Source organism: Homo sapiens, chromosome 20 (genome assembly GCF_000001405.40).
Source record: "Homo sapiens chromosome 20, GRCh38.p14 Primary Assembly".
Taxonomy (NCBI): Eukaryota; Metazoa; Chordata; class Mammalia; order Primates; family Hominidae; genus Homo; species Homo sapiens.
This window is the reverse complement of record NC_000020.11, coordinates 51,557,760-51,576,146: the sequence shown is the minus strand read 5'-3', so window position 1 is coordinate 51,576,146 and position 18,387 is coordinate 51,557,760. Positions and strand designations below refer to the sequence as shown.

General features: G+C 47.9%; 1 protein-coding gene across 6 annotated transcripts in view, besides 1 other annotated feature; it reads left to right on the top strand.

Annotated features, from left to right (window-relative positions):
• Window positions 5,298-5,798: an enhancer, noted in NCBI's record as "H3K4me1 hESC enhancer chr20:50186888-50187388 (GRCh37/hg19 assembly coordinates)". NCBI's record gives its function as "activates a minimal SCP1, AML or CMV promoter by ChIP-STARR-seq in primed H9 embryonic stem cells {active_cell/tissue: H9 hESC(primed)}" and the evidence as "EXISTENCE:reporter gene assay evidence [ECO:0000049][PMID:30033119]".
• The window catches only part of NFATC2 (nuclear factor of activated T cells 2), a 175,877-nt gene continuing 170,797 nt past the window's right edge, over window positions 13,308-18,387 (top strand). For all 6 annotated transcript variants that reach the window (NM_001258295.2, NM_001258294.2, NM_001258292.2 and 3 more), the window contains exon 1: window positions 13,308-13,587. Coding sequence is in view for 3 of the 6 variants with exons in the window: in NM_001258292.2 (NP_001245221.1) it covers window positions 13,518-13,587 (70 nt within the window). In the remaining 3 variants the exon portion in view is untranslated. The remainder of the gene's footprint in view (window positions 13,588-18,387) is intronic.

Genomic DNA, 18,387 nt, shown 5'->3' with positions numbered 1-18,387 from the left:
TTGGGGTCAGCAAAATTGGTTTTTTTTTTTTTTTTTTTTTTTAGACGGAGTCTCGCTCTGTCGTCCAGGCTGGAGTGCAGTGGCATGATCTTGGCTCACCGCAACCTCCGCCTCCCGGGTTCAAGCAATTCTCATGCCTTAGCCTCCCAGGTAGCTGGGACTACAGGCGCACGCCACCATGCCCAGCTAATTTTTGTATTTTTAGTAGAGACGGGATTTCACCATGTTGGCCATGATGGTCTCTATCTCCTGACCTCGTGATCCACCCACCTCGGCCTCCCAAAGTGCTGGGATTATAGGCATGAGCCACAGCCCCCGGCCAGCAAACTTTTTTTTGTAAAAGACCCAGATAGTAAATATTTTCAGCTTTGCAGGCCATATGCTCTACTCAATTGTGTCACTCTGCCATTATAGTGTGAAAACAGCCATAGACAATCTGTAAATAAATGTGAGTGGTTGCGTTTCAATAAAACTTTATTTACAGAAACAGGCAATGGACCAGAGCTGGTAAAAAATTTGTCAATCTCTGACCTAGACCAAAGAAATTATAGGAATAGTTTACTCAAAGTCAGGAAGCTGGTATTTTTAAAAATAAACTTTAATAAATTACAGTTCACATACAATGAATTGCATATTTTAAAGGTACAGTTCAATCAGTTTTGACCATCGTCCCAGTCAAAATACAGAACATCTCCATTGCCTTTTGCAATTGATCCCTCCTTCCCCCACCTAACCAACTATTGACTTGACTGCTACCTTGCAAATTGATTTGGACTGTTCCAAAGTTTTGAATGAATGGATTCCTACAGTGCATACTCCTTTGGTCTGGGGAAGCTAGTATTTGAGGCCTTTGTGATCTGTTTGGGGGATCTATTTGGTCACTGTCATGATTAAACTATACTTGTAAGTTTTTTTTGACACGCCACTCTTCAAAGGGCAAAGGTAAAGGCCAATTCCTTTGCCTTTGAATGTGGGCTGGACTTAATGACTTGCGTCTAAGGAATAGGATGTGGTAAAACTGACCGCTGGTCACAGCTTCTGGTTCTGCTGCTTCCCTTTCTCCTCAGTCACTCACTCTGGGAGAAGCCAGCTGCCATGTTGTTAGCACACTCAAGCGGTCCTGAGGAGAGGCCCACATGGGGAGGAACTGAAGCCTCCTGCCTATAGCCAGCACTAACTTGACAGCCATGAAAGGGAGCCATTTAGGAAGTGGATTCTTCAGCCCCAGTCCAACCTTCAGATGACTGCAGCCCTGGCTGACATCTTGACTTCAACACAATGAAGAAGCCAGAGCCCAACTAAGCAGCTCTTGAATTTCTGACTCATTGAAGTAATGAGAGATGATACATGTTTATGAATGCATCAAGACACTAAGTTTTGGACTGATGTATTATGCAGCAAGAGATTACTAATACAGTTACTGACACATTGACTCCATCCATTCATCCATCCATCCACCTACTTCCTCATTCATGCATTCATTCATTCATTCATTCATTCAACAAATATTGATTTCTTGACAATGATTTAATAGCGAACACTTCTGCATTGTGTACGGTTTTATTCTAAGCATGTTTCTTATATTAACTTACTTAGTATTGCCACTTTGCAGATGAGGAGACTTGCTCCCTGAAAGGTTGAGTCACTTGCCTACAGTCCCATGGCCCGTGGGCGGTAGATCCCAGTTTGAACACAGAGCCCATAGTGATCACTGCTGCACTAGGTGCTTCTCTCCCCTCTGCCCTGGCTTGTCTCCAGGGAGATATCTACCATGGCACCTGTGGGTTCACCTGCTCCCACATCTGTTGCCCTGCAATAGGGTGGAAGACTGTATCTTTTCTGTGTGTTGCTGGGCCCAGAGCAGGACCTCAACAGACGTGTGTTGACTGATTGACTGATCAGCTGGAGGGAAGATGGATGCAGCATGCCCTGGCAATGCAAGCCCGGGGGACCCTGAAGAGCACTGGCAGGGCCCTCTGCTGTGGATAGGGCAGCCCATCCTAGAACCTGCTCTCCCTGTGCCAAATCAGGGCTCAGAGCACAGAGAGCTCCAGAATAAGAACAACCACGCCCCTGCTCAGTGGCCCAGAGCCACCGGCTGAGGTTGGGGATGAGCTCTGTTTACCTTGGAAGGCCCAACCTCTTTTGTAACACTCACTCATTGTTGCTGGGAGCCCAAAAATACTTTTATTAATGGAAAAACAGGGATGGCTCCACAAAGAAATATTTTGACAAGCCCAGAGGAGCCAGCAGGAGGGTTCAGAGCATATCCTCAGGAAGCTGGGGTTTCTTATCTTCCAGGGAGCCCACGGAGGGGAAAAGTGCAGCACGCTTCTCCTGGCAGAGCAACCACCCCGTTTCCATGTGGGGCTCCCAGGCACGGCTTCCTGGGCTGGACTGTGCTGAGGTGGCTTTCTGCAACATGGCCCATTACCAGCTTATGCCCCACTCTGGATACAGCTCCCCAGGGCCCATTGGCTTTATTCCTGGGTCACTGCTCCATCCACGTGTTCTCCCTCATGGCCTGTTTCCTCTGAGTGCTAATGAAGGCTTGGAGCTCCTTAGACATCTTTCTGGGCTTGCCGTGGTCCCAGGCACCCACAGAGCCTAAGGTTCTTATATCTGCCAGGTGCTATTTTAAGCACCATTCCATGTGCTAACTCATTTCATCCTCACAACAGCTCTCCAATGGGTAATATTACTTTCATTTTGTACCCGAGGAAACCCAGGCACAGAGAAGTTAAGTAACCTGCCAAAGGCCACCCAGCTAGGGAGAAGCAGAGCTGGGATCTGAACACAGACCAGCTGGCCCTGGAGCCTGACTCTTTATTTTATTTTATTTTATTTTATTTCATTATTATTATACTTTAAGTTTTAGGGTACATGTGCACAATGTGCAGGTTAGTTACATATGTTTACATGTGCCATGCTGGTGTGCTGCACCCATTAACTTGTCATTTAGCATTAGGTATATCTCCTGAAGCTATGACTCTTTTTTTAAGATGGAGTCTTGCTCTGTCCCCCAGGCTGGAGTGCAATGGCACAGTCTAGGCTCACCGCACCCTCTGCCTCCTGGGTTCAAGCGATTCTCCTGCCTCAGCCTCCCGAGTAGCTGGGATTACAGGTGCCCGCCACCACACCGGGCTAATTTTTGTATTTTTAGTAGAGATGGGATTTCACCATGTTGGCCAGGCTGGTCTCAAACCCCTGACCTTGTGATCTGCCCGCCTCAGCCTCCCAAAGTGCTGGGATTACAGGCGTGAGCCACTGTGCCCGGCCGAGCCTGACTCTTAACTTCAGCTATGGCCATCTTTCTAAAGTGCATATCTGTTCGTGTCACTCAGAGTCCCCATACTCGATGGTTCTTCATTACTCTTAGAATCCATATTGGTTAGGGCACAGGTTTAGCTGTCGTACTAAAGATCCCTAGACAGCAATGGCTTAAGTAAGTTAGATATTTATTTCGCTCTCAAGAAGAATGTGGGTGGAGATCTAGGGTTGCTGTGGAGGCTCCCTGGTCATTAGGGACCTGAACTCCTTCTATCTGTCAGCTCTGTCTTCCTTAACACAGTTTCTACCTCATGGCCCATGATGGCTGCTCAAGCTCTTACCATCAAATCCATATTTTAGCGGGAAGGAGAGAAGGGAAAGTGGAGAATATGTCCCACCTCTTTAAAGGTTTGATTTCCAGCTCTTCCACTATGTGGCCTAGGGCAAGTCATTTGGCCTCTCTTGTCATCTGTGAAAAGGGGAAATATTTGAATTTTCAAAGGCTAGGAGGATTAGACAAGCTAATACATGTTGATATGGTTTGGTTGTGTCCCCACCCAAATCTCACCTTGAATTGTAGTTTCCATAATCCCCACGTCATGGGAGGGATCCAGTGGGAGGTAATTGAATCATGGAATTGGTTACCCTCATGCTGTTCTTGTGATAGTGAGTGAGTTCTCACGAGATCTGATGGTTTTATAAGGGGTTTTTCTCCCTTTTGCTGGGCACTTCTCCTTGCTGCTGCCATATGAAGAAGGACACGTTTGCTTCCCCTTCTGCCATGATTGTAAGTTTCCTGAGGCCTCCCAGCCATGTGAAACTGTGAGGTCAATTAAATCTCTTTCCTTTATAAATTACCCAGTCTTGGGTATGTCTAATGAAAACAGACTAATACACATGTCAAGCACTTGGAATAGGACAAAGTGCAACGTGAATACTCAATAAATTTTAGCGACTATGATTATGGATTGACTCTGTTTAGATGTCACTGCTCTTGAAGGCCTACCCCAGCACCCCAACGTGACCAGGTTTTGTGCCCTCCCACATATTTCTCGGCTCCCAAGCCTCCTCCATCCTTGCACTTGCCCACTGTTTTGTACTGTCAGTTGACCTCTCTCGCCCCGACTGCATGAACTCCCTGAAGAGATTAATTTCTGTCTTGTTTTCTGTCTGTATCTTCAGCATGAAGTTCAGGGCCCCATGGCAGTGCCCAGAAAACTTGTCAAATGCATGAAAAAAATGACTCTTTCTGGTGATGGCAGGCTCCCTATTTTACAGGATACTGCCTCAGGGCCTTTGCACGTCTTGTTCTCGCAGCTTGCAATGCATTTTCTCAGCTGTCTGCATGGCCAGCTCCCTTAAGCCATTCAGTTCTCCTCAGTGTCACCTCTTCTGTGAAGTCTTCCAGACCACCCTGACTAAAAAAGGCTCCTTTCCCCAGCCCTCCATATCTTCCTGCTCTCCTTTATGTGTTTTTCTTGGCACACGTCACCACTCAACTGTGTTGTCTATATTTGTGTGTTTCCTCTGAGTCTCCCCGCTAGACTGAAAGCCTTGTAGGGCAGCACCTGCATCTGTTTTGCTCGCAGCTGCATCCCAAGTGCTTGGAATATTTTAGGTACATGACAATGTCTATTGAATGAATACACAAAGGAAGAAGATAGCCTGTCTGATTTTTAAAATATAAGAAAAAATAGTCTAGCTATAGGTACTTCAGTCCTTTCCTTTCACAGGAGAGATGCTTGATGTTTCAAGGTTCACTCTCAAAAAACTGCAAACGAGATACCGCCCCGCTTCTTCTACCCACAGAGGGAGAAAGACAAGCCAAGCTGATCGCAGCCTCTAGGGCCAAAAGCCAATTCCCTCTCACTCCACGTCAGCTCTCCAGCTTCTAGGAAAATCTTCTCCATCTCTGAGGGCCGGGGCGTTCCTAGGGCTGCCGCTGGCCACTGTCACATCTCAGTTCAGCAGCTGGGAGCAGCGAGGGAGCCCCGTGGATGGGCAGGCTGTCACCGGAAACTTGCTGTCAGCAGCCCTGTGAGCTGCCGAGGAACATCGGGGTTCTCTCCAAATGCCTCAGAAACCTCCCTGTTGGGTTACATTCTGTCTTGGGGGACCCTGGGATTACCACAGTTCTTTGCAGCAGCCAGCGGCTGATTGGGAGGTAGCAAGATTCAGCACTTCTGAGTTGGAAAAAGCGGCGCCGGGTATTATTTTGGGAACAGTCAGTCATGAGAACCTCCAAGAGCTGATCAGGGAGGCTATTAAAAGCAAGACAATGTATTTTGAAACGAACCCGGCTGGGGAGACACCTCACTCTCTGCCACAACCATGGAACTGGGAGTTCTTTCCGGATGAGGTGAAACTTTCCATCGCTAGGAGATGGGGAAGGCCTCCCCAGCTGCCAGCCACCGCCCCGTTCCTTCTCCTCTGCCAACCCCAGCTGAGCACCTCACCCACCTCCTCGGCCATGTGACGGAGCGAGGGTTCTCTCCAGCGGGCTGAGCAGGTGGCCAGACCATCATGGTTGTGCCTGTCGTTCATTCATTCACCAAACATAGACAGGACCTGGGAGTCTGGCTCTGGAGCCAGGCTGCCACTCTCCACATTCACACTCTGTCGCTTACTATTTGCTGACCTTGGGCCTCTCTGCCTCAGTTTGTCCCGCCCCTCCTGCAAAATGGGGATAATAGTGGCCTTCATCTTAGAGAATTGTTGTGAGACCCAAATGAGTTAGTCCCTGTGTCCGTCACAGATGCTAGATAGGATAATTGACTGAGTACCACCCGTTCCAGACACCATGCCAAGTCCCGAGTAAGACAGACATGGCCCTATTTTCCTAGTCTAGCGGAGAGATGAGTCATAACCAAGTAAACAAACAGATGAGACAATTTCATATTGTGTTATTCACTCAACAAACATTTTTGAGGTCCGACCGTATGCCAGGCATCATTCTAGGTGCTGAGGACACGGCAGGGAATAAAACAAAGTTCCTGCCTTCGTAGAGTTGATATTTTAGTTGGGAGGCAAAGGAGACATAGAATACACAAATGAATATGTAATTTATTTGTGGTAAGTGATAAATGCTATAAAGAAATATGACAGGGCGTTGGGACTGAGATTTGTGGGGTGGGGTTGAGCTTCAGGGCAGAGGAACCTATTTCAGAGGTGAGGGTCATGGAAGAATGCATTCACAGGATGGCATTTAAACTGAGGCTGAGAAGATGGAAGAAGCCAGCCATAGACATGTAGGGACAAAGGGTCCCAGGCCAAAGGGAAGGAAGCACAAAAGCCAGGAGGTGTCTGGCTCATGGGGAGTAGATGGGAGACCAGATAGGTGGGTAGGGCCGGACCTCAGAGGCCGTTGCATTCGTTTTCTGTTGCTTCCCCCTGGACATTGTAGCTTAAACGAGCAAGTATTTATCATCTCATAGTTTCTGTGGCTCAGGAACAGATTAGTTGGGTGGTTCAGGGTTTTTCCTGAGTCAAGCCATTGGCTGTGGCTGCAGTCATCTGAAGGGTTGACTGAAATGCGGGCTGTGGGCAGGAGGCCTCAGTTTCTTACTACATGGGCCTCTCCAAAAGGCTGCCTGTGTGTCCTCACAACACGGCAGCCAGCTTCCCCCAAGGTGGGTGATCCAAGACAGCAGTGCAGAAGCCACACATCTTTTATGACCTAGACTTGGAAGTCATACATCTCATTTCTGCAGTAGCCTTGTGTTGCCCATTTAGGAGGGCATGGCCCAGGAGCAGGAACACCAAGGTGGGAGCCACTAGGACCCTCTAGAGGCTGGCTACATCAGCCTTGGTGAGGAATTGAATTTTATTCTAAGAGGGATGGGGCACTTCTGAAATGGTATATTTGGTTGAGCTGGGTGATAAAGCATGACAGGTGTTTGTAGTGGCAAGATGATAGTAACTGTAGCTACCATTATTGAGCACCTACTGTGTACTGGGCACTGTGCTTAGTGCTTCATCAGATACATTGGCCTCTCAGATGCTCATATCTCCCTGTATTAGTCCATTTTCATGCTGCTGATAAAGACATACCCAAGACTGGGCAATTTACAAAAGAAAGAGGTTTAATTGGACTTACAGTTCCACGTGGCTGGGGAAGCCTCATAATCATGGTGGAAGGCAAGAAGGAGCAAGTCACATCTTACATGGATGGCAGCAGGCAAAGAGAGAGATTGGGCTGGAAAACTCCCCCTTATAATACCATCAGATCTCGTGAGATTTATTCACTATCATGAGAACAGCATGGGAAAGACCTGCCCCCTTGATTCAATTATCTCCCACCAGGTCTCTCCCACAACACGTGGGAATTCAAGATGAGATTTGGATGGGGACACAGCCAAACCATATCACTCTAAGAAGTAGATGTAGCTCCATTTTATAGATGAGGAAGCTGAGACTTCTCCCTAAGAAATGTTATCCAAGGCAAGACTGGGAGGCCACTAGAATTACCCAAGCACAGAGAGGAGCTTGAGGGTGGGAGGAGAGAGAGAACAGCCTAGCGGAAAGCCTGGAAGTGAGGAATAACAGGGAGAATTGGCAGGGGGTGGGGTGCTGAGTATTTCAGTAGGCAGGGGTGTGGAGTTGAAGGGTGTAAGAGGTAAGTGGTGGTGAGACTAGAGAAGGTGGGTTAGATTTTATAGGTCATTGGTCACATATGGGATTTTGAACTTTACCCGCAAGGTAATTGTGATTCAGTGGAGGATGACATGGTCACATGTCCCCTTTAGAGTCTAAAGCTGAGAAAATATCACATTGGTTGTGCAGGAAAGAATAGACCTCAGGGAAGGAACAGGAGAGAAGAGGAGGCGAAGAGGCCGAAGAGTCACCAGGAGAGAGATGTTGATGGGGGTCCTGGCAAGGCTGGTATTGTGGAGAGGAAGAGAAGTGACCTACCTAGAATAACAAGGAACATTTATAGAGCAATTGCTATGTGGTAGGCATTAACTCATTAAATCCTCCCGACAATCTTAGGATGGTCATTTTACAGAGGAGGAAACTGCAGCACAGAGAGGTTGTGCAGCTTTCCCAAGGTTGCACAGCCGGTAAGTGGCAGAGATTGGAACCCCAGCCACCTGGCTCTCAAGTGTTTTCTCAATCGCTCTGAGAAACTGGCCTCTCAAGTTGTCTAACCCAGGGCTGCCCAAGAGAACTTTCCACGGTGATGGAAATGTTCTGTTCTGTGCTGTCCAATTTGGTAGCCACCAGCCACGTGTGCTTTTGAGCACTTGACATATAGCTTGTGCAACTGAAGAATTGACACCTACATTTTATTTAATTGTTAATTATTTAACATTTTATTTTAGTTATTTTTATTTTTAAATTTTTTTGAGACAGAGTCTCGCTCTGTCACTCATGTTGGGGTGCAGTGATGCAATCTCAGCTCACTGCAACCTCCGCCTCCCGGGTTCAAGTGATTCTCCTGCCTCAGCCATCCAAGTAGCTGGGATTACAGGTGCCCGCCACCATGCCCAGCTAATTGTAATTTTAGTAGTGACGGGGTTTCACCATGTTGGCCAGGCTGGTCTCGAACTCCTGAACTCAAGTGATCCTCCCGGCTCAGCCTCCCAAAGTGCTGGGATTACAGGTGTGAATCATCACGCCCTGCAATTATTTAAAATTTTAATGGCCACGAGTGAATTTGAGAGATTTTTCCGAGGGAAGATGTTCAGAGCTGGGAGATCTATCTGTAAGATGTGGCAATGGAAGGGGAGGATGTTCAGGAATGGCAACCACCAGGTTCCAGCTGGGAGGGTGGAGACCCCTGGTCAGAGCTCACCAGGATGCACTGACCAACTTCCGTGAATACCTCCAGCATTTCCAGCCCACGTTCCTGTTGCTGCTGTTGATCACTACTGCTCGTTCGGCCTTGTGGTGTCCTTGTCAACCAAGTAGGAGGCAAGGACTATGACTTCTAATTGTGTCCTCACCCCACCCCCACCACTTAGCCTGAGCCATGCCCATGGAATAAGCCTGGCAAACAGATATTTGATAGGGAGCTTCTCGGAGCAATTCAGAAAACACCCGAGAGCCAGGTGGCTGGGGTTCCAATCCCACCTCTGCCACTTACTGGCTGTGCAACCTTGGGAAAGCTGCACAACCTCTCTGTGCTGCAGTTTTCTCCTCTGGAAAATGATCATCATAAAGTTGTCATCAGGATGTAATGAGTTAATGCCTACCATATAGCAATTGCTCTATAAATGTTCATTGTTATTCTAGGTAGGTCAATAAACCTTTCGGACACCTGCGTTGGTCCTACTTTCTATGTATGAGACATGTAGAAATCTAGAACAATTCTCAACTGCCATCTACATTTCAGCCAGGAAGGGGTTGACAGTCAAGGGGACCTATTGGCACAGAGATAACACTTGAGCGATGCAAAGAAGGGCCCTCACCTAAGCTGCCCTAGTCCTTTTAAATAACCCTGGTGTTGAATCAGTTGTTTGGGGCAGCATCACTTAAGTGGTGTCTCAGCAGAAATACCTGTGTTTCTGATTTATGAGGCTGATGGAGGGAAGAGAATCTAATAAAAGGCTTCCCCGGTGATTCAAGGTCTCCTCCAACCCAGATGTCTCTGCAGCCTCCCTGGACCATTCCCCCTACGGCCACCTGGACGCCTTCTATTTGCTTTGATTCAGTTTCTCTTTTGCTTTTTCCTTACTTGCTGGTGCATTCCCACCCCAGCTGAGAGCCTCTATTTTTGGGAGTTTTCGTGGATAATTTAGTGGGCAGAAGCTCCCCACCCACCCCCCTTGGAGCATCCCTTAAAAAAGGGAGAGTGCTCGAGAGAAGTGAAAAACAGTGGGTGGTTCAGTTCAAAAGGACAAAATATTTCTTGCCCTGGCACTGGGAGAGGAAAGAAATTGTCTGAGGAACCAAAGGACGGCTAAACTAAGAAGCCGAAAGCTGCAGCCCAGAAGGGCAAATTAGGTGACTCAGCTGCAACTGCCCCGGCTCCAGCCCTTGTAGTATTAATGTGCTTTAAAAGGGAAAAACGCTTAACCGTGACAAAGAGTGGGCTCTATAAAAATGTGGCTAATGCTGATTCTATCGAGTTCCAAAAGACATCCCCTGCTCAGCAGCTCTGGGCACCTGTGGAGTTGGGGAATCGCCTCAGAGGCCTGAGTTGGGTGGGACTGAGTCTAAATTTATCCCCGATAATGAGTCCGCCAGAGGAGGGCCCAGCAAGCTTGTTTCCTTTCTCGCTTCTGGCCTCTAAAACCTCGGTACCAAGGGAGGATTCTGGGAGGCAGGGGATATGGTGCCAAGAACACAGGCTTTGTTGCCAAACAGAGCTGGGTTCAACTCTGGGCCGTCCATTTACTGGCTGTGTGCACATCAACTTGTAGAGCCTCAGTTTGCTCATCTGTAAATGGGGCTCACAGCATCAAGCTCAATGGGAGGGTGAAAGGAAACAGACCTTGCCAAGCTTGTCTGATGCTCTGGACATGGCAGTTGTAGGGAGCCCTGGAGAGGAAGGGCATGAATGCCGAGTCTAATAATCCTACTCCTGGCTTAATCACTACTCATTTCTTGACTGTGGGAAGGTTTTCTTCAAAAAAAATTTTTTTTTTTTTTAGGATTTGTTATATGCTTTACTGTTCTTAGCACTTCAATTAAAGAAACTCATTGAATCCTTATAGCAAGTCTTTAAGGAGGGTATTCCTAGTGTCCCCATTTTACAGAGTGGGGTGAGTGATGCCATGGCAAAGCCAACCATCTGACTGTAGAGCCTGAGCTCTAAATGGCCTCTCAGGTTGTCTAACCCACTACTGCCCAAGAGGACATTCTACGGTGATGGAAACATTCTGTTCTGTGCTGTCCAGTTTGGTAGCCACCAGCCACATGTGGGCTTTTGAGCACTTGACATATGGCTTGTGCAACTGAAGAACTGACACCTACATTTTATTTGTTAATTATTTAATATTTTAATAGCCACATGTGGCTAGTGGCTGCCATATCGGATGGCACAGGGCTAACCCCTTTCAGCTTTAGTCTATTACTTTGCAGTGGGATTGTGAGTGGGAATTTATAGATGACTCTAGCTCAGGGCCTGGCACCTAGTAGGTACTGAGGTGAGGGGTTGCCATTCATAGTGTTACTAAGTGTAGTAACTGTCTGCAGAAGACAATGGTTAGCAGGCTTCCTTGGTGTCTGGATACTGGCAAAAGGAAGTTGAGTTTCATTCACGCCTGGGATGACCAACCTGTCCCAAGTTCCACCTTGGGTGGAAGGTTCCACCTTCTCAGCTTTAAAACTGAAAGTCTTACATTCTAGGAGCCCCCTCAATCCCAGGCAAACCAGGAAGGTTGGTCACCCTGTTCTTGCTTCAGATGGTTGGTGAAGGAGGCCTCAGGGAATGAGTCTTCCTCAATAGGCTCCACTGAAAAGAATCCTCTCTACGCCCTTAAAGGCTGCACCCCAGAATTTGCCAAGTAAATCAACAGGCAAGCCACCTGCCTTCTATGTGCCTCAGTTTCCCTTTTGGAAAGTGGGAGAGAGGATCCCCTCCTTGCAGGGTGGTTGCAAGAAATTTGGTGGCGCCACGATTTTTGAGTTACTCGAGAGTCAGTGAGACTTCCCTACCTTGAATTCCTTGGCACACAGTAGGTGGACAGATAATGGCTGCTCTCTGGGGGAGCAGCATTACTTAGACTGTCCTGCTGGAGGCCACCCTGGTTGAGGCAGGCTTGAAGAGAGTCCCCTGGGCGGGGCTGGGGGTGGGGCTTTCTCAGGCGCAGTTCCAGCTGGTCTCTGTGGGCCAGCATCTATCTCCAGCAGGAGTGGTTATGTCTGCGAGCTGCCCAGTGAGGCTATTGTGGGCCAGTACTGGAAAACAGAGTGGTCCCACGGATGGAGCCAGCTGCCTCTCGATGCCTCTTTAAGTTCAAGTCTCTCTGTAAGAGCGTGCGGGGGGAGGGGGGGTGTGTATGTGATGAGTCACCAGCCTTGGTTGCTATCCACAATTTTATCAGAGCTCACAACAGTATCTGAAGTCCATTTTCAAAGCCAGCTTTATCTTTGGGCTCAGAATTTCCCACCCTGCAGGCAGGTGAAGAGGCAGACCTAGTCCAAGTCCAGAAAAGGCATCTTGACCGCTGCACCTCTCCCTCTCCCCCTCCCCACGGACCTTCTGGGGGTCTCGTGGCCTATTGCTGTGAACCATGCGTGGCATCGCAAGGACTTTCTTCTGGACACTGTGCAAAGTTCATGATATCCTTTCTCTTTATTTTCCTGTTTATTCAGAGCATGTGTAAACACATGGGTTGCCTGGTTTCAGCTTCTCTTTGGCCATTTCATTATTTCTGGAGCCTCTGAGCATCACTGGAAACCTTGGATTTTCTAAATGAATCTAAAAATAAACTCTTTGAAAAAAAATTCTCGAAGTTGGAGAGTTGACACAAGGCACCGTTATTTATTTCTTTTCCTTCCTCCTCCTTCTCCTCTTCCTCCTCCCCACCATCCTTGAACACACAAAAATCTGGGCAGCCAGAGGCCGTGAGGGACTGGGAAGGGCCCCTGGGCAAACGTCCAGGAGCTTGGACAACCTGGGGTGTTGATTTGAACCCTGGGCAGCTTTCTCCAAGAGGCGCCCGCTTGGCAAATGGGGGGCTTGGGAGTCTCGGGCTTGATTTATGAAAAGCTGCCACGGGCCAGGGAAGGCGGTGGCTGGGCACTCCTTGCAAACAGCCGCCTGGAGCTCCTGCAGGGCTGACTTGGACACTCGCACGCCCCCACCCCCTTCTTCTCGCCGTCGCCCGCTTCGCTCCCTCTCCCAGACTTTTCTCCCGAACAATCAGGGACTTGTGCTGGCGGCCGAAGGAGCCACGGAGCTGGCTGGCCGCGGAGGAGGCGACGTCATGGATTCCTGAGTGTGAAGTTTGCAGGAAAGCCCTTAGTTTTGGAGATGGACGGGATCCAGTGGTTTCCATGGCGCTGGATAAACAGGAGGAAACAGTGAGGGAATCCCGTTATTTTACTGCATTGAAAGCCTATAAACACGGAGCGCGGGGAAGGAAGTCGCGTTGCCTCTGGAGTAAGCCGGATCGCGGAGCCGCGCCGACTCCGCCGAGCCGGGAGCCGGGAGGCGCGCAGCTCCCGGGTCGCTCCGAGGCTCCTCGGCCAGGGCAGCCCCGCGGGCACGCGGTAGAGAAGACGGCGTCCCCTCGGCTGCTGGTCGATACAAACAGATCCCCCTTTCCAAACACGCGCCAAGTCCCCGTGCCCTCCAGATGCAGAGAGAGGCTGCGTTCAGACTGGGGCACTGCCATCCCCTCCGCATCATGGGGTCTGTGGACCAAGGTAACTGACTCTCGATCCCTTCCAGCCTTTTCCGCTCGCTCCTCCCGGCCCTTTCCTGCTGCTCCCGTCCCGGGCAGCACTTTCAGCTCCCGGCAGAGGTCGGTGCGGGAGGCCTGGGGACCCCGCTCGCCCTCGGCGCACAGGTAGCGGGGCCCGCGGAGGGGCGCCCGCGCCCCGGCCAGGGAAGGGACACTTGGGAAGGCGACTTTGGACAACTTTACGCGGGGGCAGGGAAGTGTCCCAGGCCGGGATTCCCTAGGCCAGTCTGTCGGGAGGATTTTCCTCTCCACGGGACACCGGGAGGGATTCTCGCTACTAACCGCTGGCTGTTTAACCGTTTCAGCACTCGGCTTTTGACAGCAAATGCCATAACGCTGCAGTATTATTATTATTACTTTTTTTTCTTTTAAGAGAACAGGCTTGGCATTTTACTATACAGCAAGTATAGTAAGGAAGACTTTGCTTTCTAACAGTTACAGCAGCAGCGGATGCTCTGGGACATTTAAACTATTTTCTTCCCCCTTTTTGATGTGCCTGCTGGATAGAGTCCTCCAGCTACCCCTTTAAAGTGCAATGTACCATCAGTTTGTTTGGGGATCTGATTACACTGTACTTTCCCTGTTTCTGCTTCTTTCCCCCTTCTCTTGGATTTAGTCCTGGTATCACACCACTTGGATCTTATGGGAGGGGGTTAACTATAAGGAGCATAAGATATGAAAATGTCCCATCTGGTCGGGATTGCGGAGGGGCTTTGGCTCCACAATAACGAATCGGTCTTTAAAAGTGGAAATGGGCAAAGCGTTGTGTTTTTCAGAGGGGAGCACTGCGTTGGGGGCTGCAGGGCCTGGCTGCCAAGTGGGAGGGGCTTCGAGAGTTAAGTGAAATAAATTCGCGGAGGAGGAGTTAGCCTCCTGTCATAAAATCAGAGTTGAATGTAGGTTTTGTGCTTTGCGTGGCTGATTAAAGTTCGGGGTGTGGGGGTGGGGGGGGGAAGAAATGACAATTTCAGTAAATAAACCTGAGAGGCTTTTGCTTGCTTGCTTGCTTGCTTGCTTGCTTGCTTGCTTGCTTGCTTTCTTTCTTTCTTTCTTTCTTTCTTTCTTTCTTTCTTTCTTTCTTTCTTTCTTTTCTTTCTCTCTCTTTCTTTCTTTCTTTTCTTTCTCTCTCTTTCTTTCTTTCTTTTCTCTCTCTTTCTTTCTTTTCTTTCTCTCTCTTTCTTTCTTTTTTTTTTTTTTAACTAGATTGAAGCCAAATGCCTTGGGTTAGGTAAACGGTGTGCTTTGCCACGGCAGACCTCAATGACACATAGTTTTAGCTGAGCTGCGCTTTTGAAAGCAAGACCCTGCCAGGACTTCGAACGTTTTAACGGGTACCAGTTTATCCTGTCCTCTGCTAGTGGTCAAGCCTATGACATAATGGCAAAAAAAATTTACTGATATCGTATCATCTGTAAAAGCAATGCTCTCAGACAGAAGACAGATATATTAAGGGCGAGAAAGGGTTTTTACTGTCATAAATACTGAAACCGGGTGTTTGATGTTCTCGTGGTGGGGGTGGAGGTCAGCCTAATGCCAAATTTAGCTCCATTTGGAAAGAGAGAGAGAGAGAAAGAACTTGGATGAGAAACTGGGCTTCTGTTTTACTGTGTGATCTAACACAAGCCTCGAATTTTATTGAGGCTGCTAACTCTGTGCCCCAGGTGTATGAACTAGTTCTGCTAAGGTTTCAAAATGTGGGTATTTTGTGTGCGCGTGTTCAATAGCTACCCTCCCCAGCCCATGCTCATGCGTGCAGGGATTGTGGGTGTATGCACACCAGTGTGTGTGTGTGTGTACATGTGGGAGACAAGGGCACCAGATTGTTCCAGGCGAACCACACTTGGTCTGCCAAGGCAACTGGGCACATAGAATGCAGTTCCAGGCATCAGAGACAGCTGGCTTGACACAGGCTGATCCAAATGCTCCCACTATGCCCTGCACGGTGGTCTCTTGAGGGAAAGCCCAATATCCCATCCAATGGGTGGGGTCGTTAAATAGAGAAGAGAAATATTTGCATTTAAAAAAATTCCAAACTTTCTGCACAGAAAGCGGCATTGGCCCTGTGAAAAACTGAAGATCTGAAAGAGGTGTGTTCAGTTTTATCTGAGTGAGATGATGGAAAGTATTTCAGCAATAAACAAACCCAGGGTGAGCTTTGTTCTCTCCCAAACCCAGACTCCCTGCCTTCTGCTTCCATTAGAATTTCTGCTTGGCCACATCACAACTGTGTGATCTTGGGCAAGTGACTTAACTTCTCTGTGCCACACTTTTCTCATCTGTAAAATGGAGCCAATAATTATGTCTCTCTTCCAGGGTTGTTATGAGATTCAATGAGGTAAAACAGATAAGGCACCGAAAATGGTGTCTTGGTCATAGTCAATGCTCCATAAATATTAGCTACAAATCCTGTTATATTAAAGATGCAAAACAATAAACTGAGGCTGTGGAGAAACTGGATTTGACAGTAAACATTCTTTGAAGAGATGCAGTACTTTCTACTTTCCAAAGTACTTTTAAACTTACTGGAACTTTATAATGACACAGATAGGGTTAAGATCTTGGCTTGTGAAGCCTCAATTTTCTCATTTGCAAAAAGGAATAATGATAGTATCAACTTCATCGGATTGTCAAGAGCATCGTATGAAATGATGCATGTAAAATGCTCAGTTCTGTGCTTAACATGCAGTAAACACACACCAAATAGTATTGTCTGACAGTTGAGGATAGTGAGACCCGGCTTTGCCCAAGGTCACATAGCAGATAAGGAGCACAGTGACTGGCACACAGTGAGTGCTCAATTCCTGCCCTAGATGGTGACGGCAAACATAAATTTATCATTGACTGGAGTAGGACAAGGGGCTAAGTGCTCTGCAAGCATTAAGTCTTTTAATTGTTATAACACTGTAGATGATAAGTACTGCAATCATGGTCTCCTTCCTGGAGGAGGGGTTGGGCACAGAGATGTGTGGCAATGGGCCAAGTGTTATCCAGGAAGAAAGTGGTAGAGCCTTAATTTGAACTCTTCACCATATGCTCTGCTGTCTCTGAAACTCAATAACATCATCATAATTTTTTATACCATTTGACAGATGAGGTGACCGAGGTGGGACCAGAGCCTGGTTCTGGGATCTTTCCCCAATACCACGTTGTTCCCTGACATATGCTGGAAGGGAAAGAGACATATGGGAGGATGTGGAGGGTATAAGGCTTATTGCTAGAGGTGGTGAAACTGAGGCAGCAGCTGATTTGTGCTTTAGCGAGGGCTTCTTGCTTTGACTTCCCTCAGGGAAATGAAAGCATAAGGCTTCCACTCTTAGTAGAAGAAGAAAGTCCTCAGCCAGCCAGTGTGGCAGCTCCAAAGCCCATGCTGCTTTCTGTACTGAGAGCCCCTCCCAGGGACCCCTCCTCCTGGCTAGTCTTTCCCTTGCTACCCAGGAAGGGAAGCCCCTCCAGCTTGCAAGCCTCTCTTCTCAGACTCCAGAGAGAATCACACTTTCACCAGACACTCCCATGACTAACTTTATTAAGAACTTTCTTTGGCTAGATTACAAGCCCCCTGAGGCCAGGGATCGGGTCTCCTATTTCTGTGAGTCTCCACTGGGTCCCAGGTAACATTGCTACTATCCAAGAGGTTAACAGCTTGAGGTCTGAATCAGAGGTTCAAATCTTGGCCACTTGTATGAGTTACTTCACTTGTGCCTCAATTTCCCCATGTTATGAGTGATATTAATATTATCCAGAATAATATTTAGTAAATGTAACAACCAGATACAAACCAATCAGAACCATAGGAGCAGGGCCCCTAGACACTTCTCTGCTGGGCCAGGCTTTAACTATTTATTTGCTGAATTATGGGGAGGGTCCCAGGCAGTAGAAGTCTTTGGAGGGTGGTAGGAAGCAGGGGAAACAGCAAATAATCTATGGAAGTTCTCAATCCTTTAATAAACAATATAATCCGGAAGGTACCCATTCAAAAAATAATTGCGGTCATTACTATTGTATAATTTATTATTTCAACATTTACCTCGCCCCCCCCCAAAAAAACCAATGCCTAAATCCAATTACTAAATACTTTCTCATGCGTTTTCTCATTGGATAACTCACACTTAATATGTAAATGACTGATTATTTATACTTCCTGACTGGAAGAAGCCGGTCAAGTTTTTATTTTTTTATTTTTGAGACATGGTCTCACTCTGTTGCCCAGCATGAAGTGCAGTGGTGTGATCATGGCTCACTGTAGCCTTGACCTCCTGGGCTCAAGCAATCTTCCCACCTCAGCCTGCTGGGTAGCTGGGACTGGAGGGGTGCACCACCATACCTGGCTAACTTTTTAAATTGTTTGTAGAGATGGGGTCTTGCTATGATTCCCAGGCTGGTCTTGAATTCCTGGGCTCAAGTAATACTCCCATCTTGGCCTCCCAAAGTGCTGAGTTTACAGGCATGAGCTACCATGGCCGGCCAGGTTCCTATTTTTGTTCCTTTGCTAGAACAGGAATTTGAGAATCTCTGACTGCCCAGCCTGGATGGGAGGCCTCCTCTGGGCTCTGCTGGCCTCTGTCCTGTGCTGCTTGCATCCTGGTACTTATCACACTGATGGTAATTATCTGACTATTTGTCCATGTCCTCCAACAGATTTGAACTCCAGGAACCAGAAACCACACCTGTCTTGGTCACCACTGTATCTTCAGTGCTAGGAGAGTGCCTGGCACTTAGTAGGTGTTCAGTAATTCTTTTGGTTAAATGGATGGATGAATGAATG